Raw genomic sequence first — 25932 nt, 5'->3', positions numbered from 1 at the left:
GACACATCAATACTGGTGGGCGAAGCATTATTTTTGTCCCTGTGTTCCCTGGTGGTTTCTTTCTGGACCTACCAATCCTGGGAAATCAGGAATTTGTTTGATCTACTATGAGACTTTCAGTTCTCCTTAATTACTGGCATAGGCCCATTAATGTTGGTGATTTCAGAATAGTCCACTTATCACTCTGGAGTTTTTTGGTGTTTTGTTGTTTTGTGTAGAGACAGACTCTCATTCTGTTGTCTAGGCTGGAGTGCAGTGGTGTGATCCCAGCTCACTGTAGCCTCAACCTCCTGGGCCTAAATGATTCTCCCAACTTAGCCTCCAGAGTAGTTGGGACCACAGGTTTGTCCACCATGCCTGGCTAATTTTATTTTACTTTATTGTGGTGACAGGGTCTCCTTATGTTGCTCAGGCTGCTTTCAAACTTTTGGGCTCAAGCAATCCTTCTGCTGCCTTGGCCTCCCAAAGTGTTGGGATGACAGGAGTGAGCCACTGTGCCTCGCCCAGTCTGAAGTTTTTAAAAGGATAGTAACACCTTATAATTTGGATAATCTTTCTTTTCTGTCATAATTTTATGTACATTTCTTTTTCCTATCCTAATGTTTTAATTAAATTGATAATCCATAAAATGTTTACTTTGAGTATCTACCCTGGGACAAAAATAAGATTTCTTTTTTCTCTAAAAGCTTGTGAATTGTTATAGATACAGGTGGAAAGTGCATTTGTGGGTCATTGGACTTAGAAGACTCATTTTAAGACCTAATTTGAATGCTTGTTTGTTCTTTAGACTAAAACAAGTCACTTTAGCTCTCTGAGTTTTAATTTCTTCATCTTGAAAAATGGAAATAAGAACATCTGTCCTTCTAGTTTCACAGGATGATATAAGAGAATGAAACCACCTAGCTAGGTTTTATTTTTATCTTAATTTTTTTTTTTCGAGACTGAGTTTCATTCTTGTTGCCCATGCTGGAGTGCAATGGTGCAATCTTGGCTAACTGCAGCCTCTGCCTCCTGGGTTCAAGCAGTTCTCCTGCCTCAGCCTCCCAAGTAGCTGGGATTACAGGTACCCACCACCACGCCTGGCTAATTTTGTATTTTTAATAGAAATGGGGTTTCACCACATTGGTCAGGCTGGCCTTGAACTCCTGACCTCAGGTGATCCATCCACCTCAGCCTCCCAAAGCGCTGGGATTACAGGCGTGAGACACCGCACCCGGCAGTAGCTAAGTTTTAAAGCACCACGCAAGTGAAACTAATTATTCTTATGCAGTGGCAATTGTTCTTCCCCCTCCCACACTGGGATTTTAAAAGATTATTTTTAGGGCAGTTTTAGGTTTACAGCAAAATTGAGCAGAAAATACAGAGTTCCCATATACCCTCTGCCCTCACACATGCACAGCCTCCCCCATTATCAACGTCCCCCATCAGAGTTCTACATTTATCACAATCAATCAACCTACATTGACACACCATTATCACCCAAAGTTTTCCATTGGCTTTTACCTTGTGCATGATTCTTCCTCTGTCATTGAAGTAGTATACAGGTGAATTTAATGCTTCAGAAAGTATGTAACAGTCATTAAAAATTGAATTTAGTGGAAGACACACTTCTCCTTTCTCCTGATAAACAAAGCCTTCTGGAATTCATTTACAGGGTTCCACTTTCCTTGATGCTAGAAAGACATGCCTGACATAGAACCTCTGTTATCTATTAAGTCCATAGAACCTACGACCACCATGCTTCTGGGAAAAGGGAGTCAATCTGATAACCATCCTACACTGAATATACCACATTGTGTGCAAAGACTTCAACTCTTCAAGCTTGTCTTGTTAGGGTCTGTAATCTCAGGCCTTTCAGAACTTTATCCTTGTCTCATTGGCCAGTCTTGTTCATTACTTTCCTCTGTCCTCATTGAATGGATATTCTTCCTGAGCTATGGAATCCGAAAGACAGCACAGGATTTTAATAAGGACCAGAGATGTACAAAATACTATGAGAAGTGGACACTATGGTTTTCATGTTTGAAAGAAATCAATAGGAAAAGCAACAAAGGAATCATGGGGGAGGGGAGTGTTTCATATTCTTATTTTCCATCTTAGCATCTTTTCCGTGATTCATACCTGCTATGTGCCTGGCACTGCCCAGGGGCAAAGTGTCAGTGGGAGGAGGGTGCTAGGAGGGGTCTGCCCTCAAGTTGAAGAGAATTTCATCCCTGATCTGGTTAAGCATTGCCAACACATGGTAACGACAGAAAACAGATCCTTTTGGTTGGTTTTATTATTGTTTTAACTTCTGTGTAGAAAACACACTCCCTTATTGCCTAACCCCACACTCACAACACCCTCCCAAATGCCACTAGATAGTGGTGCAAACAAGAAAAAGTCCCTTTTATCATGACTCTTCCAATCTAGCCAGCCTCTTCCTTCTTCTGGAGGCATTTGTAGTTAGACGGTTTCCTGAAAGCTTCGTGTTTCTGTCTCTGCAATCTCAGATGAATAACCACAGACAAGGAATCGCAAATATTAGCCAAATGCCTGTCTTCTTTCCTCTTATATCTCTTGACCACAGGGATGATTTTACATTAAGCAGCAACATAGGGAAAGATTAGGGAAAGAATTAGATGTGGTTCTGCTCAAGTGGATTTATAATTTTGAAAATACAGTAATAATTACAGCAATAGTAAGACATTTACATCACATTTTCTATATGCTAGTGCCTAAGAAATTAACTAAGAGAGAGTGACAGTATATCTGTTCTTATAATAATTCTACTGTTTATTCTATAGTTTATGTTTCTGAGCTCGATGTCATTATAAAAAGGAGTTGCTTCACTATTTTTCAGGAAAAATTTAGGTTAGTTTAATAGAGAATTTTGTGGATTTCTTCCTGTTTCATCCCTTCTCTTTGTCATTTTTTGAGAAAGTATAATTTTTGATGTAGGTTTTCAAAAGACATTTATTGAGCACTTAATATGTGCCTGACACTGTCTACATCATGTCAAAACAACCAGTTAAAAATAAAATAATTTGAGTAAACTTAGAACTCAGAGAGGTTAAGTGGCTTGTTCAAGTTCACATGGCAGGTTCGTAGCTGATAAAGCTCAATCTAGAGAAAAGTTTCTTTTAAAAATGTATTTTCATTCTCTTTTATTATTTTGTTAAAATAAGAGATATTTCATAAATTAAAAGACAAATTATAGATTAGAAAAAGAAGAACACTCAGCAGCAAGAAAGCCAGCCACCATGAGGCTAATACAGGAAAGTACTCGGTGAATGGTGTGTCTGTCACTCAGCACAGTCATTGACAACACTTAACCATTAATTGCAAGAAAACAGCAGTTTTATGCGAGCTTTTTTTGGCCTGTCTGCTCAGTTAAATCTTTGTGACCACTTCTAATTTTTTTCTTTGTGCAGAGGCTGCTTTCCTCTTTTCTTCTTTAGTCCCTCAAAGTCATTTAAACGTATATAGATCCTTCTTGACTTACAGTGGGGTTAGGTCCAGAGAGACACATTGTAAGTAAAAAAATCTGAAGTCAAAAATGCATGATATTTTCAAATTATAATGTTTATCTAGAGATAGCCCCATCATAAGTCAAGGAGTGTAGTGAATACATATCAATTTTGCTCCATTGTAAAGTCAAAAAAATTGTAAGTTAACCACTGTAAGTCAGGGATCATCTGTAATTCAAGTATTAAGTGTCAGATTCTCTCAAATCTGAGCTTGATATTATGAGGGATACAAAGTAACAGTTTATAATCCTGCAGGATGATAACCTCAAATAATATTATTAAAACACAGATGCACGTGCGCACGTGTGTGTGTGCATGTATGTGTTGGATGAGAGAAGATGTACTTACTTTTAAAAACCACAGCATTGCTTGAATAGTGGCCCAGATTATATCCACAACACGGGCATGATCTATGTGCATGACTAGGCTTGCCTCTGATGTTAGCCAGATGCATTACCTCAATCATTCCACCTGAGACCAGGCCTCTTGCAGGAAGGAGAAAGGACATTCTATTGAAGAGAAAGGGAGCCTGATCTAATTGTTATGTGACTTTATGCTAAACTGAACTCTGCACTCCCCACAAAAATGAGTTAGAGAGCATCATAACACAAGAAAGTTTTAACATAGGTTTATTGCCATCTTTGGAGACAGAGTACATGAGCTGTGGTCATAAAGAGGGATTGTTACAAGATAGACTGGTCAGGAGAACAAAGATGACTTATCTAATCCTGACTGCAACAAAGGGGCAATTATGAAACAAGGTATTACAGTTGCATCAGTCCTTATTTAACTGGTAGCATGCCCATTACATGCCTTCTTAAAGAAAACAATACAATGATGCTTTCTAATCAATTAAATTTGGTTTTATTTGTCAGCCTGTTACTATACAGGATTTTGGGAAAGGTGTTCCACTTTCTTTTTTTTTTTTTTTTTTTTTTTTTTGAGATGGGGTCTCACTCTCTTGCCCAGACGACTAGAGTGCAGTGGTGTGATCTCAGCTCACTACAGCCTCAACCTTCTCAGTCTCAGGCAACCCTCCCACCTCAGCCACCCAAACATAAGGTATAAGGTTGGTGCAAAAGTAATTGCAGTTTTTGCCATTACTTTTAATAGCTGGGACTACTGACACGAGCCACCATGCCCAGCTAATTTTTGAATTTTTTGTAGAGACAGTGTCTCACTATGTTCCCCAGGCTGGTCTCGAACTCATGGGCTCAAGTGGTCCTTGAGGCTCAAGTGCCCTGGCCTCCCAAGTTGCTAGGATTACAGGCATTTGCCACCACACTTGGCCCACATTCTTAAAATATCTGTCTAACATTCCTAGAAAAATTGCTTGCTAATGTTACCATCATAGTTAAGTTACCAAAACTGCTTTCAAACTAAAGGTTTGAAAAGGGATCACTTATTTGATGTGTTGCAATTCTGTGACAGTTTGCTAAGATCTTTTTAACAGAGAACTCTAGGACTTTTCAGAATTAAAAATGTCTAGGTTTATTTGATGATTCCACAGAGAAAATAAATAGCCAAAAAGACAGCAGGAAACATATCTAACTAAATAAAGGAAGGAGCATTTGGGAGAGAATGCCTCCAGGCACAAGTGGCAGGCCAGGTCCCAGCTTGCTGCTTTACTGACATGCCTGATGTCCATCCCAGCACCAGTAAGAGCTGCTACACTCTGGGAGTGGCCTGATGTCCCACAGGCGAGGCAACTAGTAGCAGAGCTTTGTCCGTTGCTCACGGTCCACAGAGCTGTGGCAGTGGGCACCATAGCTTGAGCTTCTTTTCCTCTTTGGTGCTTTAAGTTAAACAAGTTCTTGTTGATGGACAGTGTCCCACAGTGAGCCTTCAAAATGCTTCTCCTTAGAAATTTAAAGTTTGTTTTGGAACATGGTTGCTGAAAGCCTTTGGATATTTGAAACAATATTCATGCTAGTGTTTTACCAACAAACACTGGCTACTTATGTAAAACCTGCAAAATAAGGATTACTAACATTCATTCATGTGTCTGTGTGTCAGGCCTGGAGTATGGTATTTCACCTGCATTTTCTCATTTATTGTTTACAAAACAATAAAGCTCATGGTATGTTATGTATGTTTTGCAGGTGAGATGAGATAAGAAACTCCGGCTAAGAAAGGTTAATTTGCCTAATGTCACATAGCAAGAAAGTGAACCCTGATTCAGACTCAGGACAACTGACCCAGGGCTCTTATCTACTATGCTAAAAAAGCCACTCGTTAGCACACACCAACATTGGTAATATCATAAAAATGGCACAAACGTAAACTACCCAGGGATAAACTTAACTGAAAAAATGCAGGTGATAATATAAAATGTTCAGATTCTTATTGTGGGACATAAAAGACTTAAACGAATGGAGAGGTATACTGTGTTCCTGATGAAAGACTCAACCATGTAAAAATGGTCATCTTAAATTCAACCCAGTCATCTTAAAAATCCCTATGCACATTTCATCTGGAAGAATAACTGGTTACAAATAGCCAGGATAATTCTAAAAGAAGGAAAAAGTGAAATTGTAAGATGGAATAAGGGTGGGGACTTCACAGGGAGCGTGTCATGCTTGATCAACAATTAAAACAGTGTACACTTGGAATCAAACTAGAATTAACATTTCATAGCAAGTGCATTATTTAATAAATAGTCTTGGGACAACTGACTAACATTTGGGGGGAAATTTAGAGCTCAACCTCATGCTTTATACTAAAATATACTCCAGGTGAGTTTGAGTGTTAAAAAGAAAGAAAAAAAGCCAGAAAAAATATAGAAAAATATTATATAGCTTTAAGGAGGGAACGAGTTTGAAAGCATGACACACAAGTCAGAAATCATATTTGAAAAGGATAGATTTGGCCGGGCACTGTGGTGCACGCCTGTAATCCCAGCACTTTGGGAGGCCGAGGCGGGCGGATCACGAGGTCAGGAGATCGAGACCATCCTGGCTAACATGGTGAAACCCCACCTCTACTAAAAAAGTACAAAAAAATTAGCCGGGCATGGTGGCAGACACCTGTAGTCCCAGCTACTTGGGAGGCTGAGGCAGGAGAATGGTGTGAACCTGGGAGGTGGAGCTTGCAGCAAGCCGAGATAGCACCACTGCACTCCAGCCTGGGTGACAGAGCGAGACTCTGTCTCAAAAAAAAAAAAAAAAAAAAAAAAAAAAAGGGGGATAGATTTAACTACATTAAAAACTCAATGTTCTTGTACTTCAAAAAACACAATAGGCTGGCTGGCCATGGTGGCTCACACCTGTAACCCCAGCACTTTGAGAGGCTGAGGTGTGTGGATTGCTTGAGCCCAGGAGTTCGAGACCAGCCTAGACAACATGGCATGACCCTGTCTCCACAAAAGTTAGCTAGGTGTTGTGGCACACAACTGTAGTCCCAGCTACTGGGGGAAGGGGAGATGAGGTGGTAGGATTGCTGGAGCCCAGGAGGTCGAGGCTGCAGTGAGCTAAGATCTTGCCACTGCACTCCAGCCTGGGTGACATGGCAAGAGCCTATCTAAAAATACAATAATAATTGTTCCACTTTAAATATGATCAGAGACTATTAATAAGCAATTCAGCAAAGGAAGAAATTAAAATTACCAACTAAGCTTTGTAAAAGGTTTATTCTTTGTGGTAATAAAAGAGTAACAGTAAATATGAAACCATTTTCACCTATTGGACTCACACAAAAAAAGAAAATAATAATATTCAATGTTGGAGAGGATGTGGGGAAAAGGATAGTTCCCTAAAGAGTAGTGTTGGAAGAATGTAAATTGTAAAAATTTCTAGGAAAGGGGGATAATTTGACAATGGGCCATTAAAGCTTTAAAATTGTATATAATTTGACCTAACAATTCCTTTTCTAGAGATACATGCAAAGGTAACTATTGGAAGTTTCCAAAGATGTAGCAATGTTTATAATAAATAAAAATTAAAAATTTGAAGTAGCCTAAATGTTTAACAATAAGGGATTGGCTAAAAAAAGTTTTTGATTTAGTGAGACAATGGAAAGCTATGTAGCCACTAAAAAGATATTGTATATTTATTAGCAGAGACAGATGTTTACATGTGAATGAGAGTGAGAAAAGCAGATTACAGAACAATATATAAAATATGATCCCATTTTGTACGAAAAGAATATATATCATTATCACAGAAAAATCTTTGGGAGAATAAATACCAAAATGTTAATGTAGTGAGATTATTGGTATTTTTGTTTTGCTTATTTGTGTTTTCTATTTTTTAACCAATGAATATGGACAAATTTTATAATAATTAACTTTAAAAATCACTTCTATTACAACAGCTGGACAAAGATTAATGTTGTGGACAAAAGAGGGCTTTGCCTTTGTTGTTCAGCTGTATATTATACTCTGCTTCAAGTGGCTGAAATTTCAAGATAAGGTCACAAAGGAAAACATGCAATTCAGAGACTTATGTTCTGTAGAGATAGACTCCTGGATCTTTCAAATATTCTCTTACTACCACCCAATTTCTAAGAAATTAAACCTCCTTGGCTAATTTAAAAGTTATTCAGGGTGACATAAGTGAAAGGGGTTGTCATATCTACTCTTCAGATGAAACATTTCTAAGTTTTCAACCAGGCTTTCATTTGAAATACGTTTTGATATGGTTTGTCTTTTTTTTTTTTTTTTTTTTGAGACAGGGTGTCTCTCTTACCCAGGCTGGAGTGCAGTGGCACAATCACAGCTCACTACAGCCTCGAACGGTAGGGCTCCTGCAATCCTCCCACCTCAGCCTCCTGAGGAACTGGGACTACAAGTGTGCACCACCACACTTGGCTAATGTTTAATTTTTATGGAGATGGGGTCTCACTGTATTGCCCAGGCTGGTCTCAAACTCCTGGACTCAAGCAATCCTCCTGCCTCAGCCTCCCAAAGAGCTGGGATGACAGCTGTGAGCCACCACGCCCACCCTAGTTTGTCCTTTTGTTCACTTCCCTGCCTCAGATAAAATTCTGTCCTCCTCCTCCTTTCCCATTGTTCTTCTCTCCTTATGATAGCTTATGCCTCTGTCTTCACAACATGAACAAACACCACACACAAACCTATACACAATGTCTCCTGCCCTTTCATGGATCGATCCATCCATTATCTATCTACTTATCTACCTATTTATCTATCTGTCTGTCTATCTATCTATGTGTGTCTCAGTTGCTCCGAAGTCCTTTTAGAAACACATGGAGTTTCACTGAGTAGGAGAGCACTGAAGTAGGAGTCAGAAGAATATCACCTATTGCAGACTATCCACATCTATGAGCGAGGGAGATACCAGATCTGTCGATCATTATCATTCAAGCTCCCTTGGAAGCAGAGGTCACTTCAAATAGAGGCCTGCTAGGATGTGAGTGAAGGGAGTACGGAACTAAAAAGAGAAGCGCGAGGAAGGGAAGTGCCACCTGTTTTCCAGGAGACTTGGTGGAGCTGTGGGCCCACCAGGAAAAAGGTGTGGAGCCAGGTACTTGGCAAAGACAGCCAAGTTAGAAGCAAAAGACCAAATTAGCCAACAGCATGGTCATGTTCAAATACCATGTACATCATTTATGTCTGCTCACACCCCAGGATGCCCGATGTTTGAATTCTAAATGACACTGAGAAGGCCCCTTCAGCTCCTTTGTAGGTATGAACAAAACGGGCTATTGAAGACATGCCAGGACCACAAACTCTTGAGAGAAAACGGCATGTGGAAAATTTGTTTCAGCAAAAGGCAATTTGGCACGTATTCGTAGAGAATGGGATTAGATTTATTAAACGGGGAACCCCCAACTCCATCTGGTTCTCTCTGCATCAGCACTGGGGAGGGCTATGAGGAGAAAGAGCTAGGGATTATTTTTTGGCTTTCATGGATTTCTTCCTCAGGGATCAGATATAAAATTTAGACTGACCTTCGTTTCAGAAATTGTAAGCTGGACACCATTGGCTTCCTGATGGTTTGTGATCTCTTCAGTCACCTCCATAATGGAGTGACCAGCTCTCTTTAGCTTCTTAGAGATATGTTACTGTTGGCCGGGTGCAGTGGCTCACACCTGTAATTCCAGCACTTTGGGAGGTCAAGGTGGGCAGATCACAAGGTCAGGAGATCGAGACCATCCTGGCTAACATGGTGAAACCCCGCCTCTACTAAAAAAAAAAAAAATACAAAAAATTAGCCAGGCTTGGTGGTGGGTGCCTGTAGTCCCAGCTACTCAGGAGGCTGAGGCAGGAGAATGACCTGAACCTGGGAGGTGGAGCTTGCAGTGGGCCGAGATTGTGCCACTGCGCTCCAGCCTGGGCGACGGAGCCAGACTCCGTCTCAAAAAAAAAAAAAAAAGAAAGAAATATATTACTGTTTTGTGTGTGTGTGTGTGTTTTTTTTGTTTTTTTTTTTTTTTTTTTTTTTTTTTACAGTGACAGTGAATCCTAAACCTGAATGGCGCTCATGTTTTCCAAGAGAAGCAGCCCCTGAGGGAGTCTGCTGAGGCTGCCAACAGAGGATGAAGAGGATACAAATTTAATTAATTTCAAATCAACATAGACACAAGAACCTTTTGCTGTTTCTTCCAACGCCCACTCTTCCTAATGATGGCATCACTTGCACTTGGAAGAATGTGCAATTGAGAAGTACTAGGAAAAGGCCTGGCTGCCATCCATCGCTGCCTCTGAGGGTGGAGAAGGAGGCGGGTGATGTGCTCACTTCTGATCAACATGTGTTGCCTCCTCTCAGCCAACTTCTAGCTCACTGAACTCACTCTGGTCATGATAAATGTTCGTCACCTTTCTGCTTCATTCCTTAGGGCCTAAATCAGGAAGCTGTTTTATCGATGGTTTCCTTTTGGGTCAGTAACCAGCTTTGGATAATTTCCTCTGATTATTCAAGTCGTGGGACAGGTAAACTACATTCAGCAGGAACTTTTCTCGAGGAGTGTTATGTCATGGAAAAGACACCAAACACAGCAAGTATTTTAATGAATACACCATCCCAGGGGGTCAGTAAGCTCTGCCTGCCAAGAAGACACAGTGAGAGGGGTCCACAGTCCTGATGAGGTGGCGTTTGGTAACTTGTAGACCCTAGCATGGCCAGGTCTGGTCACCCTTAAGAACTTCTCAGAGAAACTAGGAATCTTCAGTGAAAGAACTAATGTTCTCCTCAGCTGAAATTCCCTTGCTTGTCAGCATTTCTGCAAAGCTCACACTTGTTTCACCATACCTCCCTTGGATGTGACATGTAGGTAGGAAGTATGTGCAGGTGGGAGTCATCTGTCAGCCTTCTATGTTTCAGAGATCCTGAAGGTGGTTTGAAACAAACAGAAGAGGAGCAGGAAATATCCGTGCCTGTGGCAGATCTCACTCATCATGCTTAGCATTCTCTCCCGCCAAGCTGGGATAAGCCTCATGTCCTAACACAGCACAACAGGAGGTCTCTGTCAGTCCATCAGAGATGACATTCTATGTGATATTTTTGACATCCTTGTGCTAAAAGCAATGGCACAAAATGGAAAAGGGCCTATTGACCACACCTACTCCAGTAAAATTGTTCTTCATTTATTCCTTAATTTTCTAAATCTGACCCCTTTAAAGCAATCTAGCAAATTGAGAATCCTCAGCTCTCCTTGGATACCTGATATTTTATTTCAAGAAAGAGACAAAGAAGGAAAATTTTATTTATTTTACTACCCACATATAAACCGAAGGGAGATGGGACTACCCAAACATTTGCTGCTCAATTTTGTGTCTTGTGCTTGAAAGTCTGCCCTAATGCATAACAAAAACTACTTGTCTCCTACCTTTTGGGATCCCTTTAACAAGTATTTGCCTTCTGAACTACGTGGATAATTTCAAAGGCAGAGTTCCAGACCAGAGAGGTCTTTCCATACAATGAAAGCTATAACTAGCTGGTTGTGTTTAACCACTGCTATCACGCTATCCTGGGACTGCATAGAACTTTGACAAAAGACAGACTTCATGGTACACAACTTCAACAGATTTTCTGTCATATTCTCACCAGCACATCTGAATGAGGCTTTGTGTTTTCCTTGCTCTCTTGCATGTTCCTTTTCAACTCATGGCCCACAGTGACTCTCAGATATTTATGCCAAAATTGCATACAATTGTTTTCTGAATCATAACTTGTCTATTTTTCTGCCTATGTGTGCTACTTTCAGTTTGTTTCTCATCAACATTTTGACTCTCAGAAGAGCCTCCATTTGCCCCTTTCTCTCTTTAGGTATCTAAGATCTTTGAACACCTGGGCCTTTACATTTGATCCAACCCTATCAAATAATGAACTTCTCAGAGAGGCATCTGGGGTCCTGGAACTTCATGTTGATGAAGTCATATTATATAATATGATAAAAATATTCTCATGCAGTATTTTAAATAATTTCAAATTCTAGAAGAAGCAAATTTCAGCGACATGTCATTGAGTTTTTATTTGGTAAAGCTATAATTGTGCAGTGTACAAAGCACTTTTTAAAAAGATAGTTTATTCTGTCAGGGTATATGAAGTTAGTATACAGCCAGAACAGCCAAGCCTCAATTCTTGTACCTTGTGTCTTTTTATTACTGTTTAATCAATAGATATCATATGTTTATGACAGTTTCAAGAATTGTTTTTAAACCCAAACTTAATTTTATGTTTCAGACTATTGTTAAAAAAACAAAACAAAAACCAAAAAAACCCTCACTAATTTGCCCTAATTGGATAGGGCAATCAGAACAAAATCTGACTTTCGAATATTTAAAAGATATGTAAGTTTGATTGCATTTTCGTACATTTTAAGCAAACTAGGTTAACAACAACATAGCCTAGTCAAACTTCTCAGGAAACTTGTTTTAATAAATATGTAAAAATACCCATTCATGACTCTTGACCCAATGGTGTGACTCCTCCCTCTGGGAAGGGCTTTGTTACCCAATGCAAGACCACAGCCTGGATCCACCTTGATGTAGGTGGCTCCTGGATAACCCACATCAAACAAATGTGATAAAGATGAGTAAAACTGGTCTTGGGAAAATAATTTCATAGTTTTTTTTTCTCCTAGTTATGCTGTATAATACAGGAGAACCAAAAGCTGTAAAATTATTTTATTTTATTTTTTAAAGACAGGGTCTCACTATGTTGCCCAGGCTGGTTTCAAACTCCTGGGCTCAAGCAGTCCTCCTGTCTCAGCCTCCCAAAGTGCTGGGATTACAGGCATGAGCCACTGAGCCCGACCAGCTGTAAAATTATTATATTCATTTTCACTATGTGCTACTTCTTCTCACCTGACTTTTTTTTTTTTTTTTTGAGATGGAGTCTCACTCTGTCACCCAGGTTAGAGTGCAGTGTCACGATCTCGGCTCACTGCAACCTCCGCCTCCCAGGTTCAAGCAATTCTCTTGCCTCAGCCTCCCAAGCAACTGAGATTACAGGCCTGTGTCACTATGCCCAGCTAATTTTTGTATTTTTAGTAGAGATGGGGTTTTCACCATGTTGGTCAGGCTGGTCTCAAACTCCTGACCTCAAGTGATCCACCAGCCTCGGCCTCCCAAAGTGCTGGATTACAATTGTGAGCCACTGTGTCTGGCCACACACTGACTTTCACTGTAATATCTGGATGTTTTATGTAACATATCTGGGCAATAGGGCTTATGGCAGAATTGGCCCTCGTGGTGTAGGCCTTCCAAGTTCCAAGTCTCATTTTTAGTATTCCTCCGTTCCAACCCCTGGATCCACCAGTTCCAACAGCCTGGATCCACCTTGATATTGACAGCCAGGCAGATGCTTCTGCTGATCACCGCAGCTCTAGCAATGGAAATGGATATGTTAAGAAAATACTTGTCTATTCTTTTATTTTGGTGGTTTAAACTATTAATTCACACCATCTCTGAAAAAAGGCCTTATGTTGACTAAAGAAAACATAGGCTTTAGTTTCAGCTTCTGTCAGAATTAGTACCAATTCTGAATCTGGTGGAGTGATAAGACATGGTTTCATGCTGGGAAGACACTGCTGAAATCCTCCTTGTGGGAGAACATGGAAATTTTATACTGAATTAAATTAACGCATGTGACTTTTCACATTCAGAGACATTCAGGATGAATTCTGGGGTTTCCATTTAATAGCTATAACAGGCAGTCCAGAACAACTTCACATATAGCAGCATTTCTGCTATGTGACAATGACCAAAAGAGTTCCTGTATATTAGTGTCTAGTGGAATATTTCAAATTGCAGAACCCAGACAACCAATTGCCTGAATTATTATTATTTTTTGTTTTTAGCAACTCTTTGGCTTTATCTTGATACTGTCTTGTCTGGCACCAAAGTTTTATTTCCTTCTTAGTCCTCTTGGGGATAGTTTTTGGGTGTTTTTTTTTATTTTTCTTTTTTTGAGACGGGGTCTCATGCTGATGCCCAGGCTGGAGTGCAATGGTGTGATTATGGCTCACTGCAGCCTCAACTTCCCAGGCTCAGGTGATTCTATTACCTCAGCCTCCCAAGTAGCTGGGACTACTGGTGTGCACTACTAGGACTGGCTAATTTTTTGTATCTTTTGTACAGATAGGGTTTCACCGTGTTGCTCAGGCTGGTTTTGAACTTCTAGGTTCAAGCAATCCTCCCACCACAGCCTCCAAAAGTCCTGGGATTACAGGTGTGAGCCACCATAACTGGCTGGAATTATTTGTACCTGGACCTTGTGTTTTGTTTTTTTGCCCTACTATCTTTTCTAAATAACATATCATGTTCCTGAGATAGCAGTATATACAATTATGTAAAATAGAGCTTTATATGAACTCTGTACATGCTCTAAGCTCTTTTTGAATGATATTTTAAGAAGTTTCTAAACCAAAGTGCTTAAGAAAACATGAAGATGTTAATTTCATGAAGACTGTACAAGTTTAGAAGTACAATGTAGACCTGTTTAAGACAAAGGTGGATGGGCTTTGGGGTTTTTTTTACAATTGGACTTCAGGTACAGAAGGCTTGGGTAATGGTACTCCTCAGTTCATATCACCTTATCATTGGCCTTTAGTATTTTGTAAATAAGTAACTGGACTTTTATGAAAAGCATATTCTTAACAGTTTCCCATTTCCTTTTTTTTTTTTTTTAAGATAGTGTTTTGCTCTGTTGCCCTGGCTGGAGTGCAGTGGCATGATCTTGGCTCACTGCAGCCTCCACCTCCCAGGCTCAGGCGATCCTCCTGCCCCAGCCTCCCAAGTAGCTGGGATTACAGGCGTGCACAACTGCATGCACAACTAATTTTTGTATTTTTAGTAGAGACAGGGTTTCGCCATGTTGGCCAAGCTAGTCTCAAACTCCTGGGCTCAAGTGATCCGCCCACCTCAGCCTCCCAACATGTTGGGATTATAGGCATAAGCCACCATGCCCAGCCAGTTTTCATTTCTTTGGTCTGCATGTAAAGGACTAAAGAATGATATGTAGCTACTACACTGCAGCAAACAACATTTTTCCAGTGTACAAATCAGTGGAGAGTAAGCAATGTATTACTCTGATGTCGGTGAAACACCTCAAATTATAAATAATGCCAGGAACATGTGAAAACTCCACATGTTTAATAAATGCCAGCTTTCAGAAAAAGCAGAGATTATAGGTATTCAACAAGTTAAACAATAATCTGGTAGATTAGTAATAATTTAACACATGTGTATCTTGTATTTAAAGTTAACTGAAAATTATGTAAAAAAAAAAAACACTGTGTTTGACTTTCTTTTGTTTTACAAGTGATGCAGAGTATCTGCTGAGAAGGTCAGTTAGATCATCTGATGTCATATTTGCCACTTAGCTTTTGTCCCAGCAGCATATAAATTCTACCTTGTAAGCCTCATATTAGAAGTGGTCCCAGCCAGGCACAGTGGCTTACTTCCCAACACTTTGGGAGTCCACGGCTGGTGGATTGCCTGAGCTCGGGAGTTTGAGACCAGCCTGGCCAACATGGTGAAACCCCATTTTTACAAAAATGCAAAAATTAGCCAGGTGTGGTAGTACACACCTGTAATCCCACCTACTCGGGGGGCTGAGGCCCAAGAATCACTTGAACCCAGGAGGCGGCAGTTGCAGTGAGCCAAGATTGTGCCACTGCACTGCATCCTGGGTGACAGAGCAAGATTCTGTCTCAAAGAAAAGAAAAAGAAATGGTCCCATTGCTACGGATTAGAACTAATTTGTAAAACTATCAGAATTTTAAGACTGATTAAAGGTTTTAGGTGTTTTTCTCCTACTTTGCATACTGAGAATAATATGTATAGTATTTTTCCAGTATGATTTACAATTTTATAAATGTCAGTATACATATGTATATATAAATTATTCTCAACTCCATTTTTTTTTAAATAAAATAAGTACATGTTTGTGTGCTAAATTGCTCATTTGGCAGTGATAGATTGAAAAACATTTATAAATTTAAAAATAAAGCACTATAAGATATGAGGAATGAATAGCTTCTATGTGAATTTCTATGTAATTAATATCAATATTTAGAATAAAAGTGTATTTGAGGATAAGATATTTGTTTACTAAAATGTTTTATTTACTAAGAGTAGAGGTGAATTATGCATCTTTCTAAGGAAAAGTTCTTTTAATTTCTGTGTCTATGAAAAAGAATTCATAATTCATAATTCTTAATTGCCCTCTTTTGATCCATATAATTCTTTAAATAAACGAAACAATACCAATTCAAAAAGGGGCCTGCTTTGTATAAAATTGTCTAACCTAAAAATTAAGTAGACTTTCTGCATATCTAAAATATATTATTACACATTCTTGTCTTTATTCTTCCTTACAAAACATTTTTAAATGAAGGAATGAAATTTTAATTGTTTATGAGAATATAACTTTTAAAAATATTTCTAGTAGGCCAGGCATGGTGGCTCATGCCTGTAATCCCAGCACTTTGGGAGGCTGAGGCACGTGGATCACCTGAGGTCAGGAGTTCGAGACCAGTCTGACCAATATGGTGAAACCCTGTCTCTACTAAAAATACAAAAATTAGCCAGGCATGGTGGCTGTCGCCTGTAATCCCAGCTATTCGGGAGGCTGAGGCAGGAGAATTGCTTGAACCTGGGAGGCGGGGTTTGCAGTGAGTGCCAAGACTGAGCCACTGCACTGCAGGCTGGGTGACAGAGTGAAACTCCATCTCAAAAAAAAAAAAAATTCTAGTAAAAATGGAAAAATCCACAAGAAAACCTCTTTTTTTCCTGATTACTCACTTTTCTTCATGCCTTTAATTTTAACCTCATCTCACACCTTGATATTAGAAGAAAGTAAGGCTGAAAGGCAGATTCATAAGTTGTAGATAACATGAAGACTTCCTTGAATAAGGATTTATTCTTTCGGCTCACAAAGACCAGTCAGTATTATTGACAAACAACAGGCAGGAAGATTTCTCCTAAAAGTCTCAACTAAAGTTAAACCTGGTCCATTATGGCATCAATCTACCCCTAGAAACTGATGCAGAGTCTATTTCCTCCCTGTTTTAACTAGAACTTAGCCAGACTGGAGACAGCATGGACCCAAAGAGCATGCAGTCCCACAGAGTTAGGGAAAGGATGCATCTTGACCAGCATTCATCATGTGGATCAGTTAGGAATTAAGTTCCTGATTCAAGGTGAGCTCATATGGCCGCTCCCTGGTCATCTAGGACACAAGTTCCTTCTAACTCTTCCCCACCTTCATTAGTACAGGGCTTCTTTCCTGTGTTGCCACATGATCCAAAATGGTGGTTGTAACTCCAGCATGATATTCACAAGAAGGAAAGAGAGGGAACCAGCACAAGGGTGAGCCTCCCAAGTAGGTCAGCCACTTTTAAATAGCTTTCCTGCCAGCCCAGTGAAGCAACTCTGCTTACATCTCATTGGCCAATCTCTGCAAGGCAGCAGGGAACAGTCATCTCTATGGTTGGTACATTATCACTTTCAACAATAAGGGATTCTGTCTCACAAAGTGGTGGAAGAATATTGGGTATCTGAAGAGGTAGCCACCCTGGCCAGAAGGTGCTAAACACTAAACATACATCATCTCATTTTAATCCTAGTAATTACTTATGAGGTAGGTTTAGAGAACTTATACCTTGTTCCATGTCTTTCCAACTCCAAAGCACAAGTTTTTAATCACTGCACTGCACTGCATCCCCAATAACTAGCCGTAGGAAAGTGTTTTAAAAGGCATCACTTGGCGGGGTGCAGTGGCTCACACCTGTAATCCCACCACTTTGGGAGGCCGAGGCAGGCGGATCACCTGAGGTCAGGAGTTTGAGACCAGCCTGGCCAACATGGTGAAACCCCCGTCTCAACTAAAAATACAAAAATTAGCCAGGCATAGTGGCATGTACCTGTAATCCCAGCTACTCAGGAGGCTGAGGCAGGAGAATCACTTGAACCTGGGAGGCGGAGGTTACAGTGAGATGAGATCACACCATTGTACTCCAGCCTTGTCTAAAAAAAAACAACAAAAAAACAAACAAAAAAAAGTTTCAGTCATTGTCAAGGATGCCTTAAGGTGAGCATAGCCTGAGATAAGAAGTAACAGAGGCTGCAGGCTGAGATAAGAAGGAACAGAGGCAGTGAAGGCAGGACCCTAGGCCCAGAAGTAATGGTCTATCATGCTGAGAAAAAAGCCAGGGCTTAGAATAGGGGTGATAAGTAAAAAGCCTAGTTTTAAAATCTAAGTGCTGGTAAAGGTTTGGTCACTAGGTGAAAAAATAAAGTTCCCACTTACTAGAGCTGACATAAACAGCATATGATCCTCTTTAAGGTTGCAGTGGAGAGGCATGTCCAGGGACTCTCAAGTTAGAGACAGGTGTGTTTAGTGCTAGAATTGGAAAGACATTCAAGCAGACTGGCATGTTGCCTCTTCACAGCCATAGTCGTGCTGGCTTGCAGGATACTCCAGCCTAGAATGTATATAGGAGTGTGGAGAACAGCAAAATCAGCATTGCTTGGGATTCAGCCTGAGCTCAAGTGGCCCACCCCTGGAGGCATCCAGTGTTCACACTTCCCAAGAGAGAAAACCTGATTGGATGGGTGTTTCAGCAGTCTATTGCTGCTTAAACACCTCAAAACTTAGCAGCTTAAAACAACAACACTCAATTTATTTTTCACACAAATCTGCAATTTGCATGAGGCTCAGTGCAAATGGTTCAACTCTCTCCCACACGGCATTGGCTGGGCAGTTCAACTGGATCTGGGGGTCCCACTTTCAGATGACTCACATGGCTGGCAAGTTTGTTCTGGCTGTCGGATAGGAGCCCAGCCAAGCCTGTGGTCCAGCGGCCTTGGCTTTTATGATGTGGGCCTCTCCATAGACTCCTTGGGCTTCTTCACAGCATGGCAGCTGAGTTCCAAGAGCAAGTGTCCCAAGAGAGCAAAGTAGAAATGCATAGTATTTTTATAATTTAGACTCAGAAATCACATCACATCACTTCTGCCATACTTTATTGTTTGAGACAGTTACAAAGTCTACCTAGGTTCAAGGTGGAAAGGACATAAACCCCACTTGTCCTTGGAGGCGTGTCAAAGCCACATTATGAGAAGAGCAAGTGGGATAAGGGATTTGTTGCAGGCACCGTTGGAAAATGTGATCTGCCCAAATTGGTGTGTCTTCATGCAATATCGAGGAAATATATTAGGTAGTTTCGTGTCAAGGAACATTGTGGATATTTGACCTCCCTGAATCCCAGTGCCTATGTGCTCTTTGGCTTGGACATAGACCCCTGGTCCAGTAGTCTGTAGTAGGTGGTAGAACTAGTTTTACCAACTACATGAGTCATGAGCCATGGGACTGAATGGGTTGTAGGTGGATCAGACACATAGAAATGTATGACTACTCTCAAAGCATGAGGTTAAAATGGGAGCAGATTAGACTGAGCACCTTGAGGATAGGGATCAGTCTTACTCATCTCTGTATCCTGAAAAGTGCTTGGCGCTACTGCACGCTCCATAATAACAGAAAAACCAATTATTTAATGAGCTAGGAGTTACATATCATCTTTCCTTAAGTACCTAATCAGTCTTTATCATCAGTGAGTGCAGAACTCAAATATGGTATTGTTCATCTTCCATCACCATTTTCTCCCAAGTTTCCTGGTTTAATTGCATTTTCCTCACTTTCCATCTAATGGATCCTGATGTCATTCTTTATCTTTATTTCATATTGTCCTATTGTGTGTATTGTATTGTATTTTTAGCTACATTAAATCCAATATGGAAGGAAGCAGAGAACGATCATAATTGAACTAACAAGCAAGTGGAGGTGGAGAGAAAGTGGCCCCAATTTGGAAGGTGAAGGAAAACTGGGGATGGAGCCTAACTGATCATTAAAATGCTCGAAGCAGCTCTTTCCAACCCAGATCTGAGCTTCTCTTCTTTGCCCTCTGGAGGGTCCACAGAGAAAGGAAATACAAGTTTTATTAAGAAAAAGAGGAAAGCATCTATTTTAGGTGATAATACAAGCACAGAGAAGGATTGTTTCTTCTCTGGGCAGGAAGACAGATTCACAAAATAAGAGGCACTGTAAATCCTTCCTGAGATGTTCCCCAGCACCTCTGAATGTCACTGAGACCAACTAAGCCAGTTAATGGGCTAAGACCCACTTACCTCTTAACTCCATGAAATCCATGCAGAAATACCTCCATCTTGTTACAAGTGCCAATTGATTGCTTTTTACCTGGCATGAAGGTGCCTTTCTGTTCATAACCCACCCTGTCCCATTCCTAAGGGAACCCCATCCTTCCTCTTGGCTTGTACTGTTAGACCCTCTGCCTTCCGGCAACTGAGATGAAGATTCTAAGGAAGCAGCCACATGAACTCACGTCAGGATCAGTGTTCCAGGGGCGTCCAGAGCATGAGCAAGAGAAGCAGGGTGGGAGGATGTGGGTTAAACAGCAAAAACTAAGATTCGTTGTTAAAACCAAAGGGGCAGGGGAGGGGTCAAAATCTGGAATATAAATTAGAGGTGACAGGGAAACAGAGGCAGACTGGAAAGGGGCAGGAATGAGGTGAGGAGAGGCGGTTTCCACAACGGAGCTGAGCTATGCAGTCTGCCTTTATTGGCCGCTGGCTGCACAGTGAACAGGGGTCAGTGTGGCCTGAGAGTGCAAGGCTGGGAAGGACACTAGATAGCCAATACCTTCTTTTTGTCAGCATTGCCCAGTTTCCCTGTTAGGTTAGAAAGCCCAGTTCCAGAGAGACAGTGTGAATCACAGACCCTAAACTTGGACCCACACTCCCACAGCATCAGGGCACACATGCTGACTCCCATAAGAGCCGTGAAAATGCTAGGAGCTAACTGGGTCAACCGCGGGAGGGGGCAGCTCCACCCATACATTTGGCCTTATCCAGAGCCAGTGACATGAGGCCCAACAGTTTTCTTTGCATTAAAAAAAAAAAAAAAAATATATATATATATATATATACACACACACACACACACACACACACACACATACGCATAGTGTTATATATATACTAAATAAATACACTTCTAATTGTCTCTCTGTATGTGTAATAGTGGTGTGTTTGTTTAAACAAGACTCTTGGTTCCAGTGAGAAAATGTCCAACTCAAACTAGTCCAGCCCAAAAGGAAACTTATTGGCTCATGTCATCATGCTTGGAAAGGGCAAGAAGTTGCCAATTCCAGGGACAACCAGAACCAGGTAAAACTGACATGAGTAACAATGAGACCAGGGACTCAAACCCCATCAGGCTTCTCCAGTATTTTGTCTTTCATTCATTCTCTGGGACCAGCTTTCTCTACAGGACTGTAATTATTGCAGCTGGGAGCTCCAGGAGTCTTCTGTCTTTACCACCAGAGTAGAAGGGAAAATCCTTCCCTGGGTCTAATATTTAAAAGCTCCCCCCCAACCACCAGAGGAATTTGATTAGACTATCTGGGTTTTATGCCTAACCCAGTAAAAATGCGTACAGGGATGGAGTGGGCCTGACACTTTTCTCTACTCCTGCAGGTGGGTGAGTGGATGGGTGGGTGGTGGGTGGTTAGGTGGTTGGCAGTGGGGAGGAGATACAGGGGAAAGCAGTTTCTAAAGGGAATCAGAGTGCTAGGAACAGATGCCGGGCACTCGGGAGCAGCCAAATGCAGAGGTATCCACCATGCACATGTTTCTTTCCCTCTGTACTTACTTATCCACATCTAGAGAGTCAGAAGTTGAGAATGAGCCAGGTTCTCTGGATGGTGGCTTTACTAATGCTTTTCATTTCCTTCTTTGTGCATTTTTAATATTTTCCAAATGTTCTACAACACATACATATTGCCTTGTAGTATATGTTTTTTTTAAAAAAAAATAGGGTGAATACGTTTTTATTAACCAAAGAAGAAATATTAAGAACCAAAACAGAAAAATCCTAATTTTAGGTCTAATATTCTTACAGCATAAATGTTGCTTGAAAATCATTTGCAAAACTGAACAAAATATATTGTGGTGTATGTGACCAGCACCGTTTTTTGTAGGAAAGAGAAAGGATCCTGAAAGGGGAGGTAGAAAACCCTCAAAGATTTGCTTCTTGGTATGGAAGGTACAGGTTTTTTCTGCATGCATTCCTTTAATCCAGGCTGAACACTCTGCCCATTTCCCTTTGGAAACTATGGGAGAATCAGGGAACTTTCTGGGCCTCTGTATTCACCTTGTGGCTCAATTCACCAGTTAGGGCAGGAGAGGAGGATGTTAAGGCAGTTGTCAAGACCCTGAGAAGCTAAATGGGAACAAGGCAGAACTGGAAACATTTTTTCTTCCCATAATGCATAATGTCTAATCACTTAGATTCTTTTCATGTTTTTGCTGTAAGGATCATTTAACATGAAAGAATATTTTGAGTAAAGAGCAAAACTAACCTCCATTTTAAATTCCTTTCCTTGTATACTTCTGTAGTTGCTATAATTTCTACAATTAACATATACATATTTCACAGAGTAAAAAAATGTATATTGCAAATAAAATCCAGTTAAATTTTTTAAAAAACCATTTTGAATTCCACCAGCCTAGCAAAGCAATTTTCATTTTGAGGAGTGTGTTGGAGTCTCCACCTATCTCTTTCTAAGAAAGAGAAAGTGAGAAGGGTCTGGAAATGGACCACAGCGTGGAGTTACACAGGATGACTTCCTCCAGCAGCCCAGAGGGAGCATGCAATGGTTTCCTGAAAAGAGAGGGAGCATTTATCAGCTGCAGTGGAAGGGTCAGTGGGAGAGGAAGCTAGTCAGAAATCCTGGACAGAGAAAATACTAGAAGGCTTCCCTCAAGATGCCACTGGGATTCACTTATTCAGGAAACATTTTCCTGAGTGCCTACTATGCACCAGGCACAGAGGAGGTGAGATATTGCAGAAAAGCCAATGGCCCCTGGAGCCAGACTGTCTGGGTTTAAAGCTGCTTCTGTGCCTCTGGACAGGTTACCTAACTTCTTGGTGCCCCAGGTCCCCCACAAGACTTTTGGAAAAACGACTTGAGTTAATAGATACGAATGCTCGTATCTATTGAGAGTGCCTAGAGTGTGGTTAGGATTCTGTCATGCTGGTTGTTACTATTGCAGTCTCTGCACTTGAGGAGTTCACAGTCCAGTAGCTGAAAAAGCACAAACTGGAAGTCTGTGGGACAAGACGGAGGACGTGACAGGTGCATTTTTTTAAGATAGAGAGTTGCTGGGTGGCTCCCTCCTAGACGGTTGATAGTTCGTGCTGCCCCGAAGTCTGAGACCAAGTGTTATTTTGTAGGTCACTGGGTCACAGCAGGCATTCTCCTACAGTGAGAGTCATTCTAAGCAGGAATGATGAGATGATGATGAAGACTTTTATTGAGTACTCACTCCATGACTGGCACTTTTCTAAGTGCCTCATGTGAATTAATTTGCTTAACTCCGCAGGACACTGGTAAACTATTGCCCCCATTTTGCAGATAGGGAAACTGGGGCACAGAGAAATGAGGCAACTTGTCCATGGTCACACAGGTAGCTTGTGGACAAGCTGAGAGTTGAACACAGGTAGTCTGTGTCCCACATCAGCCTGCATGTTACCAGCATCATGTTGAAGATATATCGTGGACATCAACTGCAAAAGAATTGTGCCAAGTGTGACCCTGGATACTATTCACCCACTTATTTGAGTGTCATTCATTTGTTGCTTCAGTTGACATTTCCTAAGCCCCTTGTCTAAGTAGGGCACAGTGAGCCCTCTTGGGTACAAAAAGGAAGCCAGGATCCTCCTGTCAACAAGTTGATTCGGGAGATAAGGCTTCTGCCCAAACACAGAGTAGCAGGTTCCCCACGAGGAGCATTTACAGTGCTCAGACACAGGAAGAAGGGATGGATGGCTCTGGGTTGGAAAGAGCAGTTGAGTTTGAGCTGGGTCTTAAAGGACAAAAGGCCCTTCAAGAAAATGGCATTCCTGCCCTGGGGAGGGTGTGAGGAAGGTGTGAGTCAGAAAGCGCAGGACTGCACGGCTTGGCTGCCGCACTTAGGGTGCATAGGGGGAGTGGCAGGCAATGAAGGCTGCACCGGTGGCTAGGGCCTCCTTGAAGAGCCCTTGAACTCTGGTTTGGCAAGTTGGATTGCATTTAGTAGGAAGTGAGGAGCTTGTGGAGGCTTTTAAGAATGGATCCTCTTCCCCTTATGTAGTCTGGAGACAGTGCACAGAAATGGTCCTTCCAAGAGGAAGAAGAAAAAGGAAGAACAGGTCATCAGCCTCGGACCTCAGGTGGTTGAAGGAGAGAATGTATTTGGTGCCTGCCACATCTTTGTCTCCTTCAATGACACCTTTGTCCATGTCACTGATGTTTCTGGCAAGGGAACTACCTGCCATGTGGCTGCCAGGATGAAGATGAAAGCTGACAGGATGAATCCTCACCACACACTGCCATGTCGGCTGCCCAGGAGGTGGCCCAGCAGTGCAAGGAGCTGGGGCATTACTGCCCTACACATTTGCAAACTCCAGGCCACAGCAGGAAATAGGACCAAGCACCCTGGACCTAGGGCCCAGTCAGCCCTCAGAACACTTGCCTGCTTGGGGATGAAGATCGGGGCAGATCGAGGATGTCACTCCCATTCCCTTCCGACAGCACTAGAGGAAGGAGGATTGCCATGGTCACCGCCTGGGAGCAGGAGTCCTCAAAATATTGTCTGTTAATAAATTGGCTTCATGTGTAAACAACAACAACAACAAAACAAATAATGGGAGTCAAATGATCAACACTGGGATTTGAAGAATGATCCCCAGCCTGTGGAGGGGGAGTTCAGGAAGAGAAGGCAGGGGAGAGAAAATGAGCGCAGCAGCAGGGGGAATCAAGAAAAGAGGAGGAAAGAAAGAGGAAGGGCAGTGTAGAGTGATCAGGTCACTGCCAGCCCTCCCTTTGCTGCTTAAAACCTTTCAAATGGCTTCCCATTGGTTTGAAAGGAAGCTCAAAGTCAGCACGGTCTGCATCGTGCCTTTGCTTCTTTGGCTCCTAGAGCTTCAGCCAACAGCCTTCTTTTCACTCATGGAGTATATCAGCCCTTTCCTTCTCACCTGCTGTTTACTCTGCCTGAAGTGTGACTGCCTTCCCTACTCTCTACCATGTTAGGTTCCATTCATCCTTCAGATTTTAGCTCAGTGTGTATTCTCAGTACCTTTTCTTTGTAGCACTTGACCCAGTGGCAATTTTACAATTGTTTGCATGATTATTTAAGTAATGCCTGTCTTGATTGTAAGCTTCCTGACAAGGGGTAAATATCTGTTTGGCTTATTCTTGTATCCTCAGCATCAATCATCTCTTGAGATAATATGCTCTTAAAATGTTAGATTAATGAACGGAGAATCTGAAAGGTTTGGTAACTGAATGAATAAGAGGATGAAAGATAACACCGGGTTTTTAATCACTAGTGACAGGTAAAGTGGCGTTGCCATTTACAGCAACAGGGAACACAGGGGAAACAGTTTCCCAGGGGTGATTATGAATCCGGCACTGTACATATTCACTTGGAGGTGCCAGCAGGTTATCAATTTGTCCAGCAGGCCATAACAAATTTACCACCACAGTTTAAGGGAAATATTACAGCCAGAAAAATAAAGAATGAAGAGTTTGAAGATGTATCCATAAGAATTAGTTTGCCTTCATGTAGAAAAAAAAATCCAAAAGGATAAAGACCTAATATCTAAGGGTTTATTTTTCTCCCACATGAAAGCAGTTTGGGGCTGAGCTCAGCGGCTCATGCCTGTAATCTCAACACCCTGGGAGGCTGACGAGTGAGGATCACTTGATCCCAGGAGTTCAAGACTACCCTGGGCAACATAGTAAAATCCTCACCCCCACTCCTCCTCTCTATAGTTTTTTTTTTTAATTAGCTGGGCATGGTCACATGTGCCTGTAGTCCCAGCTACTCTGGAGGCTGAGGTGGGAGGATTGCTTGAGCTCAAGAAGCAAGTCTGCAGTGAGCCCTGATTAT

The 25932-nt window shown here is 41.4% G+C and overlaps 1 protein-coding gene and 1 pseudogene across 1 annotated transcript in view; both read left to right on the top strand.

Moving 5' to 3' along the window:
• The window catches only part of TMEM154 (transmembrane protein 154), a 61370-nt gene extending 41515 nt beyond the window's left edge, over nucleotides 1-19855 (top strand). Inside the window, exon 7 of the mRNA NM_152680.3 lies at nucleotides 9922-19855. Coding sequence (NP_689893.1) covers nucleotides 9922-9937 — 16 coding nt within the window. The 3' untranslated portion in view covers nucleotides 9938-19855. The remainder of the gene's footprint in view (nucleotides 1-9921) is intronic.
• RPS14P6 (ribosomal protein S14 pseudogene 6) lies at nucleotides 24113-24659 on the top strand (annotated as a pseudogene).

The sequence above is a fragment of the Homo sapiens genome, chromosome 4 (assembly GCF_000001405.40).
Source record: "Homo sapiens chromosome 4, GRCh38.p14 Primary Assembly".
NCBI classification, from domain to species: Eukaryota; Metazoa; Chordata; class Mammalia; order Primates; family Hominidae; genus Homo; species Homo sapiens.
This window is presented reverse-complemented; position numbering and strand designations above follow the sequence as displayed.